Source organism: Homo sapiens, chromosome 13 (assembly GCF_000001405.40).
Source record: "Homo sapiens chromosome 13, GRCh38.p14 Primary Assembly".
NCBI classification, from domain to species: Eukaryota; Metazoa; Chordata; class Mammalia; order Primates; family Hominidae; genus Homo; species Homo sapiens.
In genome coordinates this window covers 73601026-73627776 of record NC_000013.11, presented here as the reverse complement: position 1 = coordinate 73627776, position 26751 = coordinate 73601026, and the positions used below count along the sequence as shown (strand labels likewise).

At 38.9% G+C, this 26751-nt stretch overlaps 2 long non-coding RNA genes across 14 annotated transcripts in view; one reads left to right on the top strand and one right to left on the bottom strand.

Annotated features, from left to right (window-relative positions):
- The window catches only part of LINC00393 (long intergenic non-protein coding RNA 393), a 116003-nt gene that overhangs the window by 34127 nt on the left and 55125 nt on the right, over positions 1–26751 (top strand). The window lies entirely within an intron of this gene.
- The window catches only part of LOC105370256 (uncharacterized), a 42020-nt gene that overhangs the window by 6644 nt on the left and 8625 nt on the right, over positions 1–26751 (bottom strand). For 2 of the 13 annotated variants that reach the window (XR_942064.1, XR_942067.1), the window contains 4 exons: positions 23433–23541; positions 14546–14580; positions 12709–12728; positions 11595–11725 (listed from right to left, as the gene is read on the bottom strand). This is a non-coding gene — a long non-coding RNA (uncharacterized LOC105370256). Of the gene's footprint in view, positions 1–1929; positions 2333–4588; positions 5458–8911; positions 10714–11594; positions 11726–12708; positions 12729–14545; positions 14581–16565; positions 16744–23432; positions 23542–24448; positions 24573–26751 lie in introns of those variants that run through there. The other 11 variants (XR_001749902.1, XR_001749904.1, XR_942066.1 and 8 more) reach the window with 11 other exon arrangements.

Sequence of the window (26751 nt, the reverse complement as noted above, 5' to 3'; positions counted from 1 at the left end):
CAGCTGGATTGGTGGCAGAAGTTGGGTGAATATCTAGCCCTTCTGATTTCTGGTCTAGGACAGACATAACCATAGTATCTGGTAACCTCTGACTCCACCTACCTCAATCCCACCCAACTGCTCTCTATCAAATCTCCTTGTTCATTTCCTTCATTCTAAAATGTTATTAAATGTTATTAGTTTACTTATTTATTGGATGTATTTTCTCACACAGTTATTCAAGTTCCCAATTAAACTGTAAGTCTAAAATAAGGATTTTTTTTTTCCTGGTTTGTTCACCATTGAATCTCCAGCACTACAAATGTGTTTGCTACACAGTATATATCAATAAATACTTGTTGAATGAATAATGATGTTAACATTTGGCTTGAATATGTGAGTCTTCAAAAAAAGAAGCAACACTACAATTCAAAACTTTTTCAATCTCAAAGTTCAAAGCATGTTCAGTTATCCACTGATTCTTTTGGCAAACCCTCTTCATTTCAAATATGCAGGTGCAGTGTACCCACTCACATGATAATGTCAACATCAAAATCAGTTGGGATTGACTGTGGTTGGATTTTCCCTAGGCAATGTACAGTGTATTAAATTTTGCATGCAAAGCAAGCCATTGTAACCTTCTACGGTAATGTATCATCCATGAGTGGTCCCATTAAAATAAATCAGCAATAGTAAGGCATGATTTTGTTTTATATTTAACATACTAATGAGTGTTACCAGGGCCAGCTGGACATTTGCATATGTTTATATTTTCCACAATGTTTTCTTATAAATTTTACCTCTACCTAAACCTTACTTGTCATACAGGGTTGGAAATAACTTCCGGTCATCTCGTCCATCCTCTTCCTTAGATCATAAGTGTATGAAAAACATCCATAAAGTCAGCTGAGCCGCTATTTCTTTTTTATTTTAATTTTTTGAGATGGAGTCTCGCTCTGTCACCCAGGCTGGAGTGCAGCGGCGCGATCTCGGCTCACTGCAAGCTCCGCCTCCCGGCTTCACGCCATTCTCCTGCCTCAGCCTCTCGAGTAGCTGGGACTACAAGTGCCCGCCACCACGCCCGGCTAATTTTTTTTTTTTTTTGTATTTTTAGTAAAGACGGGTTTCACTGTGTTAGCCAGGATGGTCTCGATCTCCTGACCTTGTGATCCGCCCGTCTCAGCCCCCCAAAGTGCTGGGATTACAGGCGTGAGCCACCGCGCCTGGCGCAGCTATTTCTTAAATAGTCTCCAAAAATATGGCTTTTTGACTGAAAGCCCTGAGTTTCATGACTATTAAGCCAAATATATTCTTTCCAAGTCTTACTTGTTCTTCCTCCCGTTACTATTTAAATTTCACTGACTTAATTATCCTCTCATATTTATCTCAGTGAACAGAGAATAACATAAAAAATAATTTATATCCTTAATTTTTCTTCAGGCTTCCACAGTAGATAATAGCTACAAAGTTAGGTTTTATTCGCTGGGATTCTTTTTCTTAAATGGCTGACTATACATTCTTTGAAGCTACATCTTATTTAGGACCTCAAGGTGAACACAGTATTTTATTGAAGTCCTAATTAGCGATGTATGTAGCGAGTGGGTGACTTCTTCCTGTGTGCTGCATCCGCAGAGAGACACAGCATTTCTGTGAAGGAGATCCCAATCTACAGGAAGCTCTGCACATAGAGTGAGTTTTGAGGTCTAAGCACATGCCCACTAAAAGGCAATCAGAAACACGCTGCATGCCAAAGGTAGGAAACCTGCTTTTCAAAAAAAAAAAAAAAAAAAAAAAAAGAGATTTAAAAATTGGCCTGTAAACATAGAAAAGAAATTGAATCTTTAAAATCAGATATTAACGGGGATATTGACAAACTTTCTGTGCTGGTTGTTTTAATGCTTCTGGAGTTTATTTTAAATTAATCCCTATCAAAATACACATAGAACTTACTTCAGGTGCACCTTTAGTTTAGAAGCCACAGTGGACCCCAAGAAGAGTAAGAGATGCAGTGAAGCCCGTCTCATTCTATGTGCAGAGCTTCCTGTAGACTGGGATCTCCTTCACAGGAGCTGCCAAGGTTCAACAAGCTTGGGGTTATCACTGGAGTTTCCTGGTGGTGTTCGCTGGAACCTTTGTGGTCTTACTGGACTTTTACTTGTTATACTGCTCCAAGGAGCATTTCACAAGCAGAGTTTAGATTCAGTTTTTAAGAATTAGCTATTTTTAAAACAATTTCAGTCTTGTCCGTGCTATAGTTTCTGGAGACCTTTCTTTTCTTCAAGCTCCAAATTTCCTTCTTGTAGCACCTCATTTCATAGAGGTGTCTTGCTCCTATGTATCTTTAAAGACAGCACTAAAAAGCAAACGATGCCAGATTTGCCATTAGTGGACTATGGAAATAGTTTACAAATCAATTTTATTGTAACCTGATTTAGGAATCATGTGCAGGGGTCAGGGGAGACTGGCTTCACAGTATGCATCTACAACCTTAAGATCCTATCACTGTATTGGTTGTGAATATATAAGTGTGAATTACATCCAGAATATAAACAAACATAAATTGTTTTATAAATTTGTTCTCACTTTTATTATGTAACTAATTCAGGCTGTTATGTAATGAATTCAGGCTTTATTAGATTTCACAATTTCTAAAAACATACACTTGATATGACTTCTTTGAACCTTGTGTTGATCCTTTGAGCAACGAGATGCACTGGGTATCATTGTATAATCAGTAGGGCATTATTTGATCCCAAATACAAGGAAATCTGTGGGTCTAAAACTTTTTTTTGCCTTTACTAGGTAAATATTCTGGATTATTCATAATCCACTTCAATCCCTGATTCAAAGACATTCAAAAGAGCATATTAATTCTTTTCCTAACTCCTTACATATTTTCCTTCTGTGAATTTAGTGATGCTTTTCCTACATTTGGTATATTTGGAAATTTTACTTTTGTTCAATATTTACAGCTCATCACAACTTATGCTAAGACTGAATTTTTTTTAATACCTCTTCAGGGCTATGTGTCTGGATCTGTAGTGGAGCAGAGTTTGTTTTCAAAAGTACCCCTTAGGGAAATCTAATATACAGTTTATTTGTAAATTATATAATCCGCTTCAAAATTAGGTTCTTTTCTATTGGTTAGATAAAAACGTACACAAGAAAATGCATGTACATTCTTTTTGTACCCATAATGGGCAATTTTCTTAATGCATAATAAATTACAGTTCTTAACTTCCTTAGAATGTGTGTAAGGAAACAAGATGGATAAACATATTACAGTTACAGAAATACATCACAAAAATCCTCACGATTTAGCATACTGCTAGTTACACATCACTATTTCTCATCGCTGCATTTTTTTCTATACCTCATGGCTCTTTTATATACTCTTATGCCTTATCAGAGATTCTGGGGAAATTCGATAGATAGGAAGATAGAAAAAGCTATCAAAAGCTGGAAAATTGGGTAAATAGCAAAACATTTTTACCTTGTTGATAAAGAAAGTAGAACAATATGCCTCTTTCTGAATCAGTTCACACTCTACAGAGTGTTTTCAAATATTTTATAAGATGGTTACATTATTATTAGAAAGCAATAATAATTATAACTATACCTATATAGATACAGAAACCATTTTTTGAACAGGAGACTATGTGTTGATATGTATTTTATATGAAAAAGAAGTACTTATTTTAGCTAACTGCATTAAAACAAACAACTGGAAGACTAAAACCTGCACATTGCCTTCTCTAAGACAATTCTGAAAAGCTAGACTCTAAAATGAGCCGCCTTAATAAAAGTGGAAAGGTCTGGAGAGAAAAAAGAAGCATGGGCTGGTTCTTGGCCAATCGGGATTTACTGGGTTGTATCTTCGGGTAACGACTGACAGCCATGGATGGTTGGAAGATGGAAGAATGAGAGTAATAGGGACACTAACACCTGATCAATTGAATCCTGTGGTTTTACAAACAAAAAACTATGGCTCCTTGGGTCCTGGAGGAAAAATAAACAGAGATCCTCCCGGGTTGCAGATTCTCAGCAGATTTTTTTGACTTAATTATACCTTTGTGCATTCTAACAGCAGGCCATGAATCTCCTGGAAATACGTCTAAAGGGTTTCTGTTATCACTGTCACTGTCCTGGTCTCCTCCTCTCTCCTTGCTAAAAGCACAGGTGGGCATACGTATGTGTGCAAAAAATAATCTCCAAATCATTTTAGCATTTTCTGATTTACTCAGTTGCTCACTCACTCCGTTGCCATTATAGCCTACATCCCATAATAAGCATCAAGAGTGTTATCAGCTGAGATAACAATGCAACATTTACCACCACCTTGGCGTCAAAGATCTTTCTTACTTATCTTTTTCCTTGTGAGCTTTCAGAATCTTATTACACAAAACACATGTCCTTGAACACTGAAAATAATTTCAGATAAATCTGCACCTGAATATCTCTGTACTAAAGGTGTCTCCTAGAGTCTGCCTCTGTCCTCATGTCCCACATCAGCAGATCAGATGAATATCAAAATTATTTTTCTCTATTTTGTTTTATTAACACAATATAATAGAAATCACAACAGAGTGTACAAACTACACTGTAAAAATATATATGTTAGATATTTAATAGCTATAGAATTAGTATTCAGAACTTACAAATAACATCTATAGAATAACACCAAAAAGCAAACAATACCATGTGTATATGAGTGAAGGGTATGAATAAACACTTTACAAAAGAAGAAAACCACTGGCTAATAGCATGAAAACGTTCTCAACTTTATGAATACTTAAGGAAATACATATTAAGATACATAATTAATACTCATGTGAATTTAAAAATTTAACATTTGGTAACATTTAAAAATTATTAAGTATTATTGAAGATGTAGAACAGTGGTACTCTCAGATAGTTCTTTGGGAAGTTTAAATTGGCACAAGCACTTTGAAGAGCTTTTTGACACATGTATTACTGAATATGCACATAATCTCCCACCCAATGATCCCACACGTGCACACACCTCACACTTCTAAATTTTCACATGTATGCACTAGACATATGTAAAAATATTCATTGTAATTTTTTTGCAGTTGTTTAGAAATTAGAAACAATATTTAAAAATTACTTTTCTCTTACATGCCAACTAGGTAAAATGTGAAGGCAAAACATTCTAAGAAAAGAGGAAGTGCAGCATATCCTGTTCAAAAGATAAACATAAGCAGTTTGGAAACTAGTAGTTACAGTGTGGGATCTGAGGAATAGAAGGAGAGAAACCAATTCAAACCTTCCTACTTAAGCAGCAGACCAGCAGAACTCCTTCGATTACAATACAAACTCACTTCAGCACTGCTCCAGAGTGTGCAGGGATGTCGCCCACAGTCAATGGGGCTAGAAACTCGGGAGGGGGACACCTGGCAAGCTGTCCTTTTCCTTCCTGGGGTCTCACGTGTAGGAGAGATACAGCGTACCTCTCAGCTAGAAGAAACAGTCAGTATTACAAGCTACACTATCTAGAGTCAGCCTCATTCTGTGCTGATTTTTCTTGTTTTCATTCATCAACCCAAGGTTGGTTCTCAACCAAGCATGATGATCAAGACTAAATGCCAAGGAAAATACTTTATGGCCCCACTACGGGCCCCACGACATCTCATTTCTGAAGAGTCTGAGATTAAATTCTGTTATGGGTTGAATTGTGACCCTGCCCCCCAAAACACATGTTGGAGTCTTAACACCCAGTACCTGGAAATGTGACTTTATTTACAGATAGGGTTTTTATAGATGGAATCAAGTTAAAATGAGGCCATTAGGATGAGCTCTGGTCCAATATAACTGGTGTTCTTATAAAAAGGGGGAACTTGGACACAGAAATAGACATGCATCGGGAGAAACAATAAGGAGAAGATGGCCATCTACAAGCCAAGGGGAAAGGCCTTTAAGAGATCTTTCCCTCACAGGGAAACTAACTCTTGACACCTTGATTTTGGACTTCCAGACTCCAGAATTGTGAGATTGTAAACTTCTGTCGTTCAAGCCATCTAGCTTGCGGTACTTTATTACAGCAGCCTAGGAAACTAATATGAATCTTAGTTAAACTTTATAGACAATTTGGTTCAAACAGAAGAGAAATTTACAATTGTAGGCATTGTCTGCTGTAAAAATCAAGAACAACTCCTGGACGCCCACCCCCGCAAACCCAAAGCAAGACCCTCAAAATTGCATCTTAAGTTAGATTTATTTATTTCAGTTAATTCTCTCAGAAAGTTAATAAATGTAAACATCGTCTGTCAAATGTCAAAAACTGCTAGGTGAAATATTTTTCTTGATTCAATTCTATTGAATGATGTGGTTCAGAAATGTTCACATGATTATACTAATTTTCATAATACAATGGAAATGGAAAAGATAAAAAATGAGCAATTTTGGATAAAGATGAAATCCATTACACCAGATACTTCATTCTTCTCTTTATGGTTAAGGTGAAATTGCACACAGGGTACTGGGGGGCTGTTAATTGGGTCCCTTATTGATCTCAGATGGACGGATTCTGAGGAATCCTGGATTTCTCTCTGTTACTTTCATTTTTTAGCTCAGTATATTTAGCACATAATTTGATTTCTCAGGACCCTATTGGTCCTGTCTAGAGTTAGAGTTCCTTCCTCTAGGTATTCTTTTGGTTTAAACACTATATAATGTGCCAAGCATGTTCTAGGACCTGAATACATGTTAGTTTCCGTTTTCTTCTGTTCCACCCTCTCCATTGACCAAATTCAGCATGCGTTCAAAACTTTCAGTGCCTCTCTGTGACTCAAACTCCTCATCTGTAAATGAGGGTAACCATAGCACTTACTTCAGCTTTGTATGGTTGTGGGAAGGATGCAATGAGCGATTACACATACAGCACATAGCACCAGGCCAGAAACATTGGAGCACCTGTAACTGTTAGCTAGTAGTATTTCTAGCATTGCCACAAAATTAATAGCTCCCAAAGGGAACAACAGCCACCGCTTAATAACACAACCATTCACCTGAGAATAAAAATGCCAGTAGGCAAAATCTAACAAATTAAACAAATTAGTCATTATTGCTCTAGATGATTTTAGCCTTTACCTATTTGTTCAGGCTATCTTTATTTTCCTGTGTCAGAGACTGAACCCAGCATATGATGCCTACTCAAGACAAACAAGGGACTCAGTATCCCACCTTAGCAGGCCCCCAATCCCCTTTACGCAAATCTACCTTGTACATAAGAGAAAGAAAATGTCCCAGGTGTAATGGATGCGGGGATCTCTAGAGAAGTAGACTGTGTTTATGATCAAAATTTCTTCTCAATTTGTAACCAGTTCGGCTCCAAAGGTAAAGATTAAGTGGAATTCAATGCACCCTGCAAGTTTCAGAGCCAGTACCCAAAGCAAGACCCTCAAAATTAAATCTTTTTTTAAAAAAGATTAATCTTTAAAAGTTTTATTAAATGGAGGAAGAAAAGACTCAGAATATTACATATAGCACAGGCCCTTTTTATTATGGGTACTCTTTTGGTAAAATAATAGGTGTTCCTAAGTAAAAGCATCTAAACTAAAAATATTTACTTTGAGGAATACATATAGATGAGCTAACTATATTCGAAGGAAGTAAGGGAACCAGAGACCTGTGAATCAGGATAGTGGCTGCTTTGGATGGGGAAACAGAAAGATTAGAAGGGGAACAGCCATGTAGCTAGATGGAAATTGTCAAAGTCCTAGCCTTCAGGTTGGATGGTGAATTTACAGGTGCTTACTGAATTTTGAAAAGTAGATACCTATGGCCAGGTGCAGTAGCTCATGTCTGTAATCCCAGCACTTTGGAAGGCTGAGGTGGGTGGATCACCTGAGGTCAGGAGTTCGAGACCAGCCTGATCAACATGGAGACACTCCGTCTCTACTAAAAATACAAAATTAGCCTGGGGTGGTGGCACATGCCTGTAATCCCAGTTACTTGGGAGGCTGAGGCAGGAGAATCGCTTGATCCTGGGAGGCGGAGGTTGCAGTGAGCCAAGATCCGCCACTGAACTTCAGCCTGGGCAACAAGAGCGAAACTCTGTCTCAAAAAAAATAAAAATAAAAAACGATACCTACATAAATGAATGAATGACCAAAGAGGCGCTATGTTCTGCCTCAAGGATTCTGATTAACCTGATTCAGTGCCACTGAGGTCCACTGAGAGGAAAGGGCTGAGCCTGAGGATTGAATGAGGACACTGCTGTCAACCCTTTCATTGTGAAGCCCCCAATGAAAATTAAACCTTGAGTTAGGTTTCAGATAATTTTGTCAGACAGTAAATAAATGTAAACATCATCTGTCAAGTGTCAAAAAACTGCTAGGTGAAACTTTTTTGTTCTTGATTCAATTCTATTAAATGTTGTGGTTCAGAAATGTTCACATGATTATACTAATTTTCAGAATACAGTTTAGATGGAAAAGATTAAAAATAAGCAATCATGAACAAAGGTGGAATCAAGAATAGAAGCTTCAACAACTTTCATCCTAGGCATAACTACAAATGTGAAGTTTCTTGGCTTTTAAGAAATTACTGTTGCAAAACTAAAGAAAAGCCCACTCACTTTTCTTTCTAAATTGAAGCACTAACCAGAGTTACGAGATCATTAAGTCAAGTCTCCACTTAGTTTCATGTGTGCAAAGACAGCTTATATTTAGCCAGGCAACACTACATTAGGAAATCTTTTCCCAAGTAAAGCTAAGTGTGCTGCCCACACAATCATGAATGAGCATCATTGCCAAGGGATAAAAATCTCTCCTGGGCAATGTTATTTAGGCAGCTCTACGACCATGGGGACATGAGAATGGAGCACAGTGGGTATCTTGTAAGATCCTCCTGTAAGGGGATCAATGTTTCTGCAAAGGAAAACATTGAGCATTCTACTTGCACAAGTCCATCGTGGGCACAACAGAGTTTTATTCTTTTTTAACGTCTAAAGGCAGTTTCTGTGTTTGAGATCTCCCATACATCACTCAGTAACTTCAACATAAACTCTGCTTCCTCATGGAAACTTCTCCTCAGGTTACAAAGTACACGAAAACAAGAGGGAGGGAGCGGTTGGGGGGAAATTCCACTCTGTAGTTGGTTCACTTTTATAATTTCAACAACAGTGACATTGATTAGATTTACTCCTATGGGAAAGTTACAGGAGATGGAATTATTGCCCAGTGGTATAGGCTGACTTCCACATCTCTATTTTGGGAATAAATACTCTTTAAGAAATCCTTGAGGTGAATGATTAACACACACCCAGCGCCAAACAACAAGCCAGAAGATTTGCAGAACTGGGCAGTGGAGCTGCGGCGGCACTTCCTGTTCCCTGCTCAGGTTAAAGAGGGGCAGCAGTCCCCTTTGAATCCCAAAATGAATGTCCCCCACAGGGCTCCTGAGCAAATCAGTTCTAGTTGTCTCGGGGTTTCTACTGTAATCGAAAGAGAAATAATGCTTTACTATTTGCCCAGATTTGTCTGTGATTTTTAAAAGGGCAATTTTAATCCAAAGAAGTTTTTCCAGCATATTTAATCAAAATGGGGGCAAGTTGGATAGAAAAGCCTGGAAAGACCACATCTTTTAGAATGTTACTGTGTGAGTTGCCTTATGAAATATTTTCTTTAACAAAATGTTGTTCAGAAAAAGAACGTAAGTCAAGTTAGACTAAGCTGAACCTAGAAAAAACGTAGACACAATGATGCCCATTTAAAAGCAATATTAAAAAAAATTAAACAATCTAGAAGATCCTCTTGCAGACTTGATGCATAGCCATAATAATAGGCATCTTTCCAGTGTCATGAAAGAGGAACGTGCTGCACCCTATAGGCTTTGGAGACAGACAGCTGGAGTTAGAAACAGCTCTATAATGCTCGGTGTGTGATCTTGGGTAGGTATTTAGTGTCTTGAGGCATCTGTTTCTTCATCTGTAAAATGAAGACAACAGAAGCACCTCCCACCTGGGAATATTGACAGTATTGAATGAGATGATGTCGTAAAACAATACGGTGCCTGGTATATAGGAGGAGATAAATACATATTAACTATTATTATTCAAAGATATTGGAAACAAGCCTATTGAGAATGTTATTGACTGTCTAACAGAAATATGAAATGTAATTAACTTTGTGAGGATATACGTATATATGTATATATCCAGAGATGTTGTGTGCACTTAGGAATCAGCTGATCTGGACATGTCTGCAGGATAACAGAGGTGAGTCCTTTAAGGTTGAGTGAAGGATCAAGGGGAATCCTATGAAAAGACTCATCCTAAGTGCCAGAGTATGACTTGAGGACACAGGTCCAGGGTTGGAGAGGGAGAAGGGATTGTGAGAACCACACCATGTCTGCCACTTGGATATTTGGCTTAGCTCCTAAGAAGTCCTTGCCCAAAAGGCATGGTGTGGGAATGTAAATAACAGAAGAAAAAAAAGAAAGAAAGTGGGGGAAATTCACTAAAATTTGCCTGGATATTAAGAGTGCAAAGTGGCAGCTCTGTTCTAGCAGCATTGGCAAGGGTGAAAGACTTTGCTGGGAGCTCTGCAACATGGAGCCAGCCTTCCAGACAAATTAGTGCCCTGTACATTAGTAGCTTTGGGACAGTCATTTTGGGCAGCAGCAGCTGCGGTGTGGGCATAATCAGCAGGCAGCGGTGAGGGAGTCTTCTGGAGGCATTGGCAATGTAACTGATGTGGTCAATGGCTGTTTCTGCAGGGACCCAAAGCATGAAAGAAGGAAATAATGGTTATCAGGTAGCAAAATAGAGGAACAACTGACTGAGCACAGGGGAAACCACTGTGGGGATTCAGAATTTTCTGTACTTATTGCTACAATGAACTCTAGAAAAGGCATTTCACCAGAGTTTGGACAAGCCTTTGAAACCCCAAGCATCCACCAGTGAAAATCGGATTCCATTTTAGCACAGTCCCAGGGTCCTATTCCTGTCCAGTGAGCAGGGTTGTTCACCCGCAGAGCATCCTGGGGTGCCGGCTTGCTGAGACTTGTCTAAGATGTTCATGCCTTTCAGGATCAGGTTCTTCTAGAGCCCAGGAGAATAAGTTGGGTACTTAAGAACAGGGAAGCCAGGAAGCTCATGCTGGAAATGTCATGAGCAAAAGAGAGAATTATCCTTTATCTTGACGCTGCTAACCTGGAAGGCCCATCCTGTAACAGCTGAAGTGAGACAATATGGTATGGCGGAAGGAATGTAGGCTCTGGAACCAGGTGGATCCATGCTCATATTTTAGCAAGAACACTTAGCAGCTTGGCAAGAATGCTTTACCTCTCTGAGTCTCCATTTTCTCCTCTACAGAAGGAGAAAAATAATATCTGTCTTGCTGAGTGTTTGGGAGGGTGAAATAAGGTAACAAACAATGCAAAGTACCTGGCCCAAAGTAAGAATTTAAACAGACTTGCAGTCATGAGAAGAATTGTTTTCTAGCGTGACATTCTATGCAAAGAAGCAGTGTGATGATCCCTCCCCTGGAAAATTATTCTCAAATAGAGGTTAGCCAAGCTGACAAGATTTCTCGGGGATCCTGGTTCTTTAAACTCGTTGGAACAGAAGGGTAAGATGGGCCCAAACGAACCTGCATTTCTCGATCTCCTCTAAGCATGTGGATCCATCCTTCTTCAGCCTGATCTGCGGCCCTCCTTGGACTGGACCTGAGTCGCTGAGGTCCTCCAGGAGCCTCCAGATCACCTGCGGCGTTGTTGTCTCCTTTTAAAAATTATTTATTGAACAGATTATTACATAAAGTAGAATGCAGTAGAGAGATCCCACAGGAACACCGAAGAGATGTTCCAAAGGGCAGAACAGAGACTACAAAATACGACGGAACAGTAACGTGTACACTTCAGGAGGCAGACACCTCGGCTCTCCTTTAAGCTCTACAAGGGACAACGTGGCCCCTTTTGCGTGAAGGGAGGCATTTATGGTGGCCTAGAAAGGCTTTTGGACCAGGCGCAGTGGCTCATGCCTGTAATCCCAGCACTTTGGGAGGCCAAGGAGGGCGGATTGCCTGAGTTCAGGAGTTCACGACTGGTCTGGGCAACACAGTGAAACCCCGTCTCTACTAAAATACAAAAAAATTAGCCAGGCGTGGCGGCGTGTGCCTGTAGTCCCAGCTACTCGGGAGGCTGAGGCAGGAGAATCGCTTGAACTCGGGCTGCAGAGGCTGCAGTGAGCCGAGATCGCGCCATTGCACTCCAGCCTGGGTGATAGAATGAGACTCCGTCTCAAAAAAATAATAAATAAATAAAAATGAAAATAAAAGAAAGCCTTTTGAAAGGAAAACTTAGTTAAAAATCTAGCTCCGTAGGTTGCCAGTCTGTGTAACCTCGGGCAGCCCTTAGCCTTTTGAGACTCAATTTCCTAAAATGAGATGAACAAAAACCCGTAGCTAAGCAGAATATTGCTTTGAGAATCATGTAAAACAATGTTTTCATTTTTCAAGGGAAAAAGCATTGTCATTACCACTGTTTTTAAAGAGAAGAAGGTTTCTTCCCATCCTTCATAAACTCACTCCTTTTTCCACCAGATTTTTGGAGCCAATGCCCCAGCACCATGTGCTGTACTTTTGAGAATTAATTCCAGCTGGAAACATTTACATTTTTACAAAAAGAAAATACTTCTCATTTTAAAGATTCTCATAATGCCAAAAGAGAAACTTTCACTTAGCACTAAAAGTTTGCTGCCCTTACCTGAATGAACTACAGTCGTCCTGTGAAAGGAATAGAAACACACATTTTTGCCTCAATTTTGCATGTGGAAATACAACTGAAAAAAAGAAGTGATTTCTTCAAAGTCACAGATTGAACAGTTTAACATTTGAGATAGAACTGCAAAATACCTTTGGTTTGAATACACAGCTAATATCAAATTTTTATGACTTTATTTAGTACCAATTTGGAATGCATAGCATGACTGAAAAACCTTTATTTTGTAAAAATTATTTTATTTAAAAATAAAAATTTAGGCCAGGTGTGGTGGCTCACACCTATAATCCCAGCAATTTGGAAGACCCAGGCAAGTGGATCACCTAAAGTCAGGAGTTCGAGACAATCCTGGCTAACATGGTGAAACCCCATCTCTACTAAAATACAAAAATTAGTTGGATATAGTGGCTCATGCTGTAATCCTAGCTGCTAGGGAGGCTGAGGCACGAGAATCACTTGAACTTGGGAGGCAGAGTTTGCAGTGAGCAGAGATCACGCCACTCCACTCCAGCCTGGGTGACAAAAGTAAAACTCAGTCTCAAAAAAAAAAAAAAAAAATCAAATGAAAAAAACTTAATTAAAAAATAAAATTTAAAATAACTTTATAAATAAAACTGTATTTAAAACAAACTTGCAGCTTGGGAATGGTGCTTTCTTTTCTCTCCTCTTTAGTTAATGTCGTGAATCCTGTTTCTCTGTTTCAATGCCTCCATGTCACACACATCTGGTCTTTGCCGTCTTGACTGCCCTAACCCTGGCCACTCTGCATCACTTCACACTTGGTTGTTTTAACAACATCCTATTGGCAAACTGTCTCCAGGACCTCTCCTCCCCAGTTCTTCTTTTATATTATAATCTTTTCCCATGAGAACAAGAATCTTGGCCAGGCGCAGTGGCTCATGCCTGTAATCCCAGCACTTTGGGAGGCCAAGGCGGGCGGATCACGAGGTCAGGAGATCGAGACCATCCTGGCTAATGCAGTGAAACCCTGTCCCTACTAAAAATACAAAAAAATTAGCCAGGCGTGGTGGCGGGTGCCTGTAGCCCCAGCTACTCGGGAGGCTGAGGCAGGAGAATGGTGTGAACCCGGGAGGCAGAGCTTGCAGTGAGCTGAGATGGCACCATGAACTCCAGCCTGGGTGACAGAGCGAGACTGTCTCAAAAAATAAAAAAAAATAAAAAAAAAATCTTGTTCTCTGCTATCCCCCAGCATTGAACCAGAGGCACTGGTAGCCTTTGTTTCAATTTTCTCAGGATGTTTGTGTAGCAAACAGCCTTGGAAGACAGATATGGTGTCCCCCTTCAGAATAGCGGTAAGCAGGCTTATTGCTCATTATAAATATTTGAGTTCTCTAAGTTCAGTGTTCCTCTTTTATAATTCAATCAACTGCATACACAGGTGTCACCTGGCCCTCTTCATGGCACCCTGTAGAAATGAGGCTTAGAGAACCGAGACAAATGCGGTGATTCTAGCTACTGGTACTATTGTGCATAATCACCTTCCTTCATCTCTGACCCAGGAGTCTCATGTCTTTTGTCAGCATTTATGAAACTGTGCTAGGCTAACTTGTTACCATGTGAGAATGCTAACCTTCAGAATTCTTTATAATGTTCAACATCATTATCATTAGAGAAACACTAATTGAAGCATCATGAGCTACCTCTACATATCTATTAGAATGACTAAAATAACTTTTTTAAAACCCTGATAATATCAAATGCTGGCAAGGATAAAGAGCAACTGAACTAGTGGGAATGCAAAATGGCACAGCCACTCTGGAAAACAGTTTGAAGTTTCTTATAAAGTTAAACATGCACTTACATATGACACAGCAATCTCACTCCCAGGTATTTAACCTAAAGAAATAAAGATCTCATGGTCACACAAATATCTGTAAACTAATGAGAGTAGTTTCTCTATTCACACTTGCCCCAAACTATAAAAAATTGAAATGTCCTTAAATGACTGAATAGATAAATGAATTGTACATCTATACAATGGTCTACTACATGGCAATATAAAGGAACATGCACTATTCACAACAGCAGAGGCATGGAATCAACCTAAATGCCCATCACTGATAGACTGGATACAGAAAATGTGGTACATATACACCATGGAACACTATGCAGCCATAAAAAAGAATGAGATCGTGTCCTTTGCAGGGACATAGATGGAGCCGGAGGCCATTATCCTTAGCAAACTAACACAGGAAGAGAAAACCAAATATTGCATGCTCTTACTTATAAGTGGGAGCTGAACAATGAGAACACATGGGCACATAGAGGGGAATAAAACACACCGGGGGTGGGGGGGCCTTTTGATGGGTAGAGGGTGGGGAAAGGGAGAGGAAGAAAAACTACTAATAGGTACTAGACTCAATACCTGGGTGATGAAATAATCTATACAACAAACCCCCATGACACAAGTTTACCCATGTAACAAAAGTACACTTGTACCCCTGAACTTAAAAGTTTAGAAAAGGAATAAATTATAGAAACACAGAGAAGCATGCCTTAATCTTATGCTGGGTGAAAGAAATGAGTCTCAAAAGGTTACGTATGGTGTGATTTCATTTATATAATATTTTCCAAAAGACAAAACTATGTAAACAGAGAAGAGATTTATGATTTACAAGGATTAAAGGTATGGGGGAAGTGTGACAAGGGATGGATAGCATGAGGAAGTTTTAGGGGAGTGATACATCTGACCATGTGTTAAGAGTCAAACAACTGTGCATCCAATAGTCCATTTTACTAGATATTACTTTAAATAAATAAAAATTTTAAAGTGTCACTAAAATGCTCACCAATGTGCTTCTAGCCACCATTTCACAAGTTTCTAAATCATGCATACATTTTTTGAAAAATACTTGGCATATAGTAAAATGCACAGCTCTTAATTGTACAGGTCAACAAGTTTTGACAAACAACAAATGTCTAACTTTTGACATACAATCTGTTTCTTTTGAGAAACTTGTACCTATTTTTTGTCATACTCTTACCATGAACACTATTATAGCACATCTTATTTATGCTGTGACATATTTTCTTATCATTATTTTGTCTGTTTATTTGTCCTTCATACTCTATAGTTTACTCAAGGGTAAAAGGTAACAACTTAGTCTGAGTTAATCCCTCTCATCTGAATGAATACTTGAGGACAGTATTTTTTTTCATCCATAAGACCCCACATTTTCATTCTTTTTAATACCACAAATATATCCACATACTATTAATTTACAGAAAGTTTAGGAGGTTGCACTAAAACTTTATAAGCTCAGTGTTCAGCATAGCTTTAAGATTGTAGAGCCAGCTATAGGTAGTATAATGAAACATAGAAAAAAGCCTCTTATATAAATATATGGCAAAAAATAAACATCTCAAATGTATTTCATCTGCTCTCTGTATACCATACTCTTTCAAATATATTAATAGAGCATTCCTAAGCTGTTTAGTCAACACAATTATAGCAATATGCAAAAGTTTTATAACCAATAACTTGCAGCATGACAATATTGAAAGCAGGACCAAAACTAATTCAGTGGTCAAGAAAATCAGAAATAAAAGTCAGAGCTTATTTCAGCCAGTCTCAAATGGACTTGCAGTCAGAAAAAAAAAAAAAAAGATAATTAAGTAGCTTGAAAGGAACATAAATGTCATACGATAAATTTTATTCACAGACAATACAAATGAAATAGAAACCCGTTCAAATAAGCACAACCGTTTTACAATTCTTTTCCATTTAACCCTGAAGACATCTAGTGACAGGACCAAGCCTGTTCTTTAACCAGTCAAGCAAGTGAAAAATATGATCGATACTGTAAAGAGAAAAACCTCACCCCAGCAATCCTGGCTTTGAGAATGACTGTGCTTCTTGAGTAACAGGAAGGGCATCTCTGTGATCAATGGTATAACACTTCCCCATGTCTGGTTTAGCACTTTTTGAGATCTAGTGCTAACCTAGGTCTAGCAGTTAACCTGTTTGCTTATTGACTCCTTCTTTCCAGATTCCAAATTGCCGGAAATATAATGAGTGTCTCAGAAATAACTGCTTGAGGCATTCCCAAAGGTGGATCCTCCCTTAGTATGCTGGGAGCATAATGTAATTTGAACCCTCTTTTGGCTTCCTGCTTTTAATTTATTATCAAAATAATATGTCATACATATAAAATGGAGGAGTCTCATTTAATTGGATTCTGTAAGACGTGTGACTTTCCTCATCTGCCCACTTCACACAGCAGAGCCCTGGCAGCAGATGTTAGGTGGGGCACACCTTACCTGCTCAGGCTTCTACCTTCATAATACTGGAAAAACATCCCTTTATTTCAGGACTTTATAAATAGAACAAAATCAGTTAGTTCAACTGAATGCCCCATTCCTATGGTATCAACATAGCTACACTAAGCAGCTAACCTAAGCGTTAGTATGTTTAAAACAATTTGCAGATCACAAACAGGGCTGTTCTTGTTTTAGCCCCTATTCCTCAATTCAGAGGAACTGGTGCCGTAAGTACTCAAGCAGGCGTAGCTTAGAGAAAAGTCTTTATTCTATTTCTGTCCAGGCCCTGTTTATTTTCAGCTATCCTGGTTTTATGACATGCATTAATCGCATTCTGGGGACTATGTTGTTTAATTTACCATCACGATTCCTTGTCGGGATTTCTCTCCTAATGGCAGAGCAGTGGCAGGGTCTTTGACTGCAAATAATCAAGGTTCAGACTTCAGATTCTCTACTCATTAGGTGCGTGACATTTAATCTCTCTGTGCCTCAGTTTCCTCACATCTAAAAATGGAGATAATAATAATATCTGCCATATAGATTTATCATGAGCATCAAATGAATTGGCATATAAAATGCTATAACAGAGCTGGTAGAGAGAGGAAACTCCATAAATATTAGCTATTGCTTATTTGCCAAATAGTGAACCACATTGAGCCTATTGACAATGGGAGGTCTGGATAGCATGAGGCCACAGATGAAAAGATGTGAAGGAAAAAGGGTGTGGCATAGAACTTTATGGTTCAAGTTTTAACTCTTATGGGACGTCTTTTCTATGCAGAAATCCTTCCACGTGTGGAAAGATGTTTCTGAACCCTCCTACTTCAACACATGCAAACGACAGCAAGAGAGAGCCTTATTCGGCTTGGTGTCTTTAGTGCCTGGAACAGGTCTGCATATAGCAGACGCTCAATGGATGTTTCTTGAACAAAAGTTGCCGCCTGTAATCCCAGCACTTTGGGAGGCCAAGGCAGATGGATCACTTGAGGTCAGGAGTTCGAGACCAGCCTGGTCAACATGGTGAAACCCCATCTCTACTAAAAATACAACAAATTAGCCAGTCATGGTGGCATGTGCCTGTAATTCCAGCTACTTGGGAGACTGAGGCATGAGAATAGTTTGAACTGGGAAGGCGGAGGTTGCAGTAAACCAGGATCACGAAGCTGCACTCCAGCCTGGGTGATGGAGTGAGCCTCTGTCTCAAAAAAAAAACAAACCAAAACAAAAAATAAAACTTGCTGACTGGGTGGGATACTAGCTATGGGAACAATTATTCTATTCTTATGCCTAGCTCAAATTTCTTCCTATAATCTGGGTACTATAAAACTCAATAGAAGGGATCAAACCAAAAGTTTTGAGAACACTTTCTGCACAGCCTTGGAGAAGAAGGAGTCTGCAGGTAGAAGAGTAATTCCAGCAAGTTACCCAAATGAGAATGTCACAAAAGCAATCAACGCAGGACCCAGCTTGAGAGGCTGTTGACATTCTGTGTAATTATTGCAAGTGCACCCTGGGTAGTCCACATTATTGTAAACTGTATTTCCAACAATGTGTGGCATTAATTTTTTAAAAAAAGAAAGTAATGAAGTTATAGCTATTAGCAAAGCTGAATTGGAACTCCTAGAAAATGTCAAGGAGATCTTAATTGTACTTTATGTAATGGTCTCCTAGGCTAATAAGATATGATCTAAAACCATTAGGTATGAGAAGGTAAACATTTTAAGAGCACTTTTTTTTTTTTTTTTTTTTTGGCCAAAAGGCTCTTCATCTTTATTTGACAACTCTCGCTTGGCCTTGAGGTAAGCATTGCAGTGTTCTGAAATAACAGATACTGTTTGTGACACAGGCAATGAGGCCCTGCGGTGTGGGAGCGTATTCAAAGATAACACTTATGGAGCAAAGATGTCTATAAATCTGATTCTTAAGTCTCACATCACCGCTCCACACCCCCCACCCCGGCAGAGAGAATGGGCAGGCATGCTCTAAAAGTTATTAGCATGTCACGTAGCATGCAATTCTAAAATGCTGGGAAACACCCATTACTCTAACAAGCTTCAGAACACATAAATCTATTTAACCTTATAAATGACTGAGATTCATTCTCTCAAGGTCGGAATCTCTCCAACAGAGAGCCATATATTCATGTCGTGTTTTTTTTGCAAGAAGCTTTTGAGCTAAGACAGTTGATCCCTGAATCCCTGTAGCTGTTGGAAATTTTACAGAGTCCCTGCTCTCAATAATTGATGAAAGTCACCAGCAATCAAATAGATAGGTCAATGTTACCTTCTCCTAGAGTTCCCCAATCTTATTCGCTATTTCTAGCTCAAGGAGTATACTTTTTACCTTAGCTCTTCAATAGTTAGAAGTGGCCAGTGGCTACAATTTGCAATTTGGTTCTGTTTGTAAACACAGATTAGAAATCGTTGTTAGGATATGTGGGCCTTGGTTCCAGTTTGTCTCAGTCTTGTGTGTATTCTGGCAAGCAACCTAATGCCTCTTTATACCTTTGTTTTTCTATTTGTACAAGGGGGGAACATTACCACTAAATGAAATTTGTATAGTGCTTTGGGACACCTGCACAAATTATGCTGTTTCTAACAGATATTAAGATGATATTTGTTTAATCTACTACAAAGTCTGAATAATACTTTCCTTAATGCTGGTTGAGTAGTGTTTACCAAAGTGTGGTTGTTTCATTAAACATTAGCTCTTCAGGATTAGATGTTACATGAAACGGCCTACTTTTGTGAAATAAATTATGAAACCCTAAGGTAAACAAAGTTAAACAAAGGCCTTTGCTACAGGACTTCTCAGAGCCTTTAACATGCTAATGATCATTATGAATCTCCTAGATGGCTATGGTTTCTAGTGTTTCCCAAACTTATTCAACCATAGCATTTTTGGTGAGGTTGAGGGGACTTTTTTTTTGAGGTTACAGGAAAATTTTTTGTGAAACGCTTGGCAGAAGAATAAGCACCATTAATAAGTGCAGTTCAAAACACTTAAAGAGGAAGCCCAATGTTGAAAAACAGCTCTGTTCTTCGAATATTATAATAGGAGCAGCCTTAGCTGACCTGCACTGAACTAACTCACCAGACCAGCTTGTCATCACCCTGTAAAACATACTGGTTGAATCATATTAGATTGCTGGTTTTGTGGGTCAAGAAATGCTAGAATAACCGGCATTTTCATGTATTTCTACTTGATAAAAAAGTGTCCCAGGTAGATTAAGCCCTTAGGGCTAGCAGGTTAAATTCTAGTATAAATGCCGGCAAACTTCCGCTCCCACCACTTGAATTATGCTTATCAGGATCAGTTGTGTTCGTTTCCATATATTTCATGACAGTTGTGCTAGTTCTTATAATTACATAATTCAATTAGATATTACATAAGCCCATAGAATGTAAATATGAGTATGCTGTTGTTGATTCTATCACAATTAGATTGAATGCTTATCAAGACTCATTTCAGTGAGATTTAAAAATTGCCATTAAATGAGGTGTAGGTGAAATACTCTAAAAGGTTAAGTGGGGATGGGCACGGTGGCTCATGCCTGTAATCTTAGCACTTTGGGAGGCTGAGGTGGGTGGATCACCTGAGGTCAGGGTTCGAGACCAGCCTGGCCAACATGGTGAAACCCCGTCTCTGCCAAAAACACAAAAAATTAGCCGGATGTGGTGGCGGGCGCCTGTACTCTCAGCTGCTCAGGAGGCTGAGGCCCAAGAATTACTTGAACCAAGGAGGCAGAGGTTGCAGTGAGCTGAGATGGCTCCAGTGTACTCCAGTCTGGGTGACAGAGCGAGACTTTGTCTCAAAAGAAAAAAAAAAATTTAGATATATATATAATGGGGGAATCATAAACGTGTGGAAGTCTTCATTATGTATAGTAAGTTATTTTTAATTCTCACTGAGCAATAAAAAAACTGACACTGGAAATTAAGGATAATATATTATGGCTATGGTTTACAGAAGAAAGATTCAGAATTGCTACCAGAAGATCCATTCTGAAAAAAAGGACCTTGATCCTATGTCAAGAGATTGATGAATATAGTGGGATTATATCCAAATACTCTATTAACTGGTAAGGTTTTGACATTGACCAAGCAGAACAAATGTCTGCCCCATCAGAAAAGATGCTCAAATTTAAGTAATTATATAGCCATGTCAGTGCATGCTGGCCAAATGTCAGCTCTGCCTACAACTATTTTACATTGAAGTATAAAATTTTGATAGTTTTCATCATTTTTAAATGATTCCTTGTTTCAGTTAAGTGTTTTGTTTATCTGACCAAATGCTACTCCTGATTATCTCAGAAGACTTCTCCTAAATACTACTACTGTCAACAGTAAGAGAACCAAGCACAATACAGTTTCCAAAGTACTGTTCATATATTTTATCCCCTTTAATAATCAGGAATAGAAGAAGTTTGGTTCCTGTAAGCAAATGTCTCAGAAGAATCCTTCTTTGAAGCTGCCACAAAAGCAGGTGAGGGCTATAGAAATCAGAATTTAATAACATAAATTATTTCCTTGTTAATCAAGCATTTGGTAAAAGGATTCCAAAAAGATTTGGAACCTGGATTTCAGGTTGGGACAGAGCAAATACTCAGAATATGTGAGGTCATTCCTGACCATACAGCAGCACTCGGTTGGAGAAATTTGAAGGAAATTGGAGGGTAATTGTGCTGCGTGTGTGAGTGTCCAGGTGAATGTTCTTCACACTCTAATCATCATTAACCTACAGGACACAGAGGACTGTCCAGCTATGTCACTGAACCACTACCCAGCAGTGTAGAAACCAAGAGTAAATCCAGACTCAAAGGAAAAATATATCAGAATAAATTCTGATTCACAATGACAAAAACATAATAAGGCCTACCCACAATAGTTTTTAATTAGTGGGAAATAATACATTTAAGGGTAATTTAAGTGTCCTTGGAGGCAGATAAAAGTAAACAATTGCAACAATGATTTTGTTAAACTGAAAATATCATAGTCATACCCAGGCTTTATTTTCCTTAAATTTCACTTCTTTGAAGTCAGTCATCTCTTCTTTTGAGATATTAGTTACTGCTTATCTGTGCCTAGAGGGAGTCCGTGAGTTAGAAGTTACCATCGCCACCTGAAAGTGGCCACTGGCGCTGGAGGCCTCATGCTGAGCTATGGATTAGAGTCACTTGTGGAAGTTTACACTAATACTGATGCTGGGTGCCACTCCCATGGTTTCTGAATCAACTGGTCTGCAGTGCCATGGGGGCACCTGGATTTTAAAAGCTTCCCACCTGAAGTGTTGTGAGTGGACCACGGGCGTCCGCATCACCTGGTAACCCCTTAGACATGCTAGAACTCAAGTCCCACCCTAGACCTACAGAGAATCAAAACCTGCATTTTAACAAGACACTGGGCATGAATTGTAGGTACTGTAGAGTTGCAGAGTCTGGATAACTCTTTCTTGAAGTATTGTTAGAGAACCTACATGAGAATCACCTGATTTTAATTTAAAAATTACAAATATTTTGGGCCCCAACTTAGCTCCTGAATGAGAATCTCTGGGGGTGAGGGTAGGAAATGAGCCTGGGGAATCAGCAGTTTAGCCGTCACCCAGGTGAGTCTTAGGAGCATCTAAGTTGAGAACAGCTATTCTAGAGAGTGTCTTAAAGTTCTTTCTAATGTTAAGGCCTTGGATCTGAAAGGCTGTGCGAGGGGTTGTAAGCAGGTCAGAGAGGGCCGCTGCAGGTATTAACAGGTACAGGCAACTCAGCCATGGAGTGGCACCCTCTGCTTCCTAATTCAAATTAATACTCACTTTAAAGAAGATGCTCAGACCATCTGCCCTGGGGCCATTTGTTCCCGTTCTTTTTAGGAATAAATCAGATGTAAGGGAATAATCTGAGATGTTCACTTACCTTTCCTTAGGTGCCAACAGTTAACTGATGTTTTGGGACCAGTTGCAGTGTTTTTGTTCCACATCCTAATTTAAAATATACATTCTTGCTATATGTTATTGATATGTTATTGATAAGGACCTAAGAACCTCTTATAGAAATGATTGACACAAGCTTGTCTAAATATTTTTTCTACTCATACTCTGAGCAAGTTCAGCATAAATACAGGAGGAGTCCTCTTCTATGACAGCTGCCCCAACACAACCACAGAGGTAGCATAAATCAAGCCATAGCCTGCATAATGTAATTTGCAAAGAACAATGCTATACAGTACAAGTCTTACAAGGCTTCTCCTATGGGTGTGAAGATCATCCCTTGTTATGGACTGACTGTGTTAGTCCCCCCAAATTCATATATTGAAATCTAATGCCCAGTGTGATGGTTTTTGAAGGAGGGGTTTTTGGAGGGTAATTAGGTCATGAGGATGGAGCCCTCCCGAATGGGATTAGTGCCCTCATAAGGAAAGGCCAATGAGCTAGCTCACCTTCTTTTCACAGTGCGAGGATATATAAGAAAGTCAGCAGTCTGCATGGAAAACTGGGCATGGATCGTACCCAGCTGGTATCCTTATCTTCAACTCCCAGCCTCCAGAACTGTGAGAAATAAATGGTTGTGGTTTAAGCCACCTAGTCAATGGTACTTTGTTAGAGCAGCCTGAACTAAGACATCTCCCGTTTTCAAAATAAAAAAGAATTCCATTACCCTTTCTTCATTTATTCTAGGAACTAAGGCACATATTCATCAGCTCATGACCATGAATTTAAACAAGATCTTTTTGGTTTAGGATGAGTCTTCCAGGGCTGCCATAACAAATACCACAAATTGAGTGGCTTAAATAATGAAAATATATATAATGAATATATTCTAGAGGCTGGAAACTGGATAGTCAGGTGTCAGCAGGGCAAAACTCTCTCTGAAGACTCTAGGTGAAGTTTTTTCTCCGCCTTCTCCTAGTTTCTGGCAGTTGCTAGCAATCCTGGGCATGCCTTGTCTTGTCCAGGATTATTATACTAGAGCTTTTATATATCACACTACAATGTAACTGCCTAGCTGTTTATCCTTTTCCACCACTATATTATAAACTCTTTGAGGGAATGAATAGGGTGTTGTTATTTGATCCATAGTACCTAACTCATTGCTTGACTCAAATGGAGTGGTCACTCTACAAGACCATTCCATGTTGTCACGTGTTGTTCTCCCTGCATCTTTATCATCCTCCCTGTGTGTGGCTGTCTCTATATCCCCTCTCTTTTTCTTATAAGAACACTGGGCATACTGGGTTAAGGGCCCTCCCTACTCCAGGATGGCCTCATCTTAACTAACTGCATCTGTAATAACACTATGTCCAAATACAGTCAGGCTCCATATCTGGGGGTTCTGCATCTGCAAGTTCAACCAACTGCAGGCTGAAATACTGTATTTGAAAAAAACAAAATCAGCAAAAAATAACAATATAATAAAAAATACTACAAGTAAAAATGTAGTATAACAACTACTTACATAGCATTTACATTGTATTTTGTATTATAAGTAATCTAGAGTTGATTTAAAGTATGTGGGAGGATGTGTGCAGGTTATATGCAAATGATGCATTATTTTAGATAAGGGACTTGAGCATCCATGGATTTTGGTATCCAAGGGAGTCCTGGAACCAATCCCCCTTGGATACTGAGGTATGGCGATGATGTCACATTCTGAGGTTCCAGGAAGGACGTGCATTTTGTAAGGGCATAAAAACTCAGCAGTTTTATTTCATTTTATCATTTTATTATTTATTATTATTTTCTCCCTTCATCCCCTTCCCATTATTTTCCCTCTCTATTGATAGCAACTTTTGATTATATTTAAACATATGTCCTTTCATTCCACTTTTCTTATCTTTTGTTTAGATAAATGTGCCTCCTTGAAAATGTCTTGAATAGTATTGACTAGATTGTCTTCCAGGGTTTTAATAATTTTGAATTTTACTGTCTTTAATCCATCTTGAGTTAATGTTTATATATGGTGTAAGGAAGGGGTCCAGTTTCAATCTTCTGCATGTGGCTAGCCCGTTCTCCCAGCACCATTTATTGAAAAGGGAGTATTTTCCCCATCACCTGTTTTTGTCAGACTCATTGAAGATCAGATACTTGTAGGTGCGTAACCTTATTTCTGGGTTCTCTATTCTGTTCCATTGGTCTATGAGTCTGTTTTTGTACCAGTACCAGGCTGAGCTCTGTCATCTTGATACGGAGCTTCTGTGATAAGCAGAGCAGGGCGAGAGAAAAAAACTTACATCTTTCTTTTATCCTCTGGCCCGGAAGTGACTCAGGTCCCTCAGGTTTAAGCTCATTATCCAGGCTTAGTCACATGTCCCTACCTAACTGTAAGGAACACTGGGAAATGCAGTCTTTCTGTATGCTCAGAAAAAGGAAAGGGAAAGAAACAGAGAAAAACAGTGTTGCCTCTGATATAGAAAAGAGTAAGTATATCTGAGTTTGTGGTGCTGCCAAGGAGGTTAACTTTGATTTCGATTCTAAATAGAAACTATTTTAACCAGCTTTAAAGAAATAGGTTTTGATAGTGAGATTGATAATAAAGTGGGCTTTTTGGGGTTTTGTTTAGTTTTTTCTTTTAAATTTTCTAGGCTTCTCACTTCCTCCCTCCTCTAAGTTTAATTACTGTATTGGAGCCATTCATTGTTAATTTTCACTCCTCCCATAGGTACTGAGCACAAAATACACAATCAACAAAACATACACTTATCAAATTAAAGGATGAAAACTTTAAACTCAATCCATCCTGACACTTGTGTTATTAAAGATTTAATGAGGAAAGAGATAAAAAATAAGTAGAAAGTTCTACTAATAACTAATGACTTAATTTATCCATGTCTTTCATCTTCCCCCAAAGTAGCCATAATTAAGGGTTGATGATGTCATTATTCATAATACGTCTATTTGTATTTCCCTTTCAACTTTGCAAAGCATACTGTATCTGTCATCTCATGGTATCCTCACCACCACCATGTGAGGAGAGTAAGGTAGACATTATCCCTGTTTGGTAGATTAGGAAATTAGAATACAGTGATGTTAAGTGAGCTGCCTAAGATCCTCAACCAATCTTGATGTTGTCACTGGAAGCCAGATCTCCTGATTTCTTGTCCTATGCTTTCTCCACACTAGAAACTCGCTTCAGAGCAAGAGTATCCTTAGAAGCAAGATAATAAAGTCTACTCTTTAATCTTTCACATGGAGAACTCCAAGTTGGCCATAATAATTTCAACATTTTAAAAAACTATCTCATCCCAGTGAGTGCATTTCTGTAAACTATTCTGGATCTGGGTATGATATAAGACTTAGCTGTACAGAGAGAGTCTGTACAGGGGTTGGCAAAGATTTTCTGTAAAAGGCCAGATAGCAAATGTGGCTTTGCAGTCATATGGTCTCTATTCCATGCTCATCGTTTAAATACATATAATATTTTTAAGACAAAAATCATTTTCACTCCCAGGCTATTCAGCAATAGGCCTTGGGCTATATTTGTCCCACAGGCCTTAGTTTGCCAGCCATGATTTTGGACTGCCAACCATCGTGGTGTTCAGAGTGCCCATGCACCTGACTCTGCTGCAGCATGAACTTGTTCCTGCTGCTTTCCTGCAGGCATTCAGCGTGCCTTGGGTTACCTGTTTGGCAATTTCCTTTAATGTCACAAATAACCCACTTTTGGGTGAGATATGCCACAGTCTGTCTCTGAATTTCTTGCCCAGCTAGGTTGAGGTGCAGTGTCTCCCTTCTGGTACATTTCTGGATTTGTGACAGGGG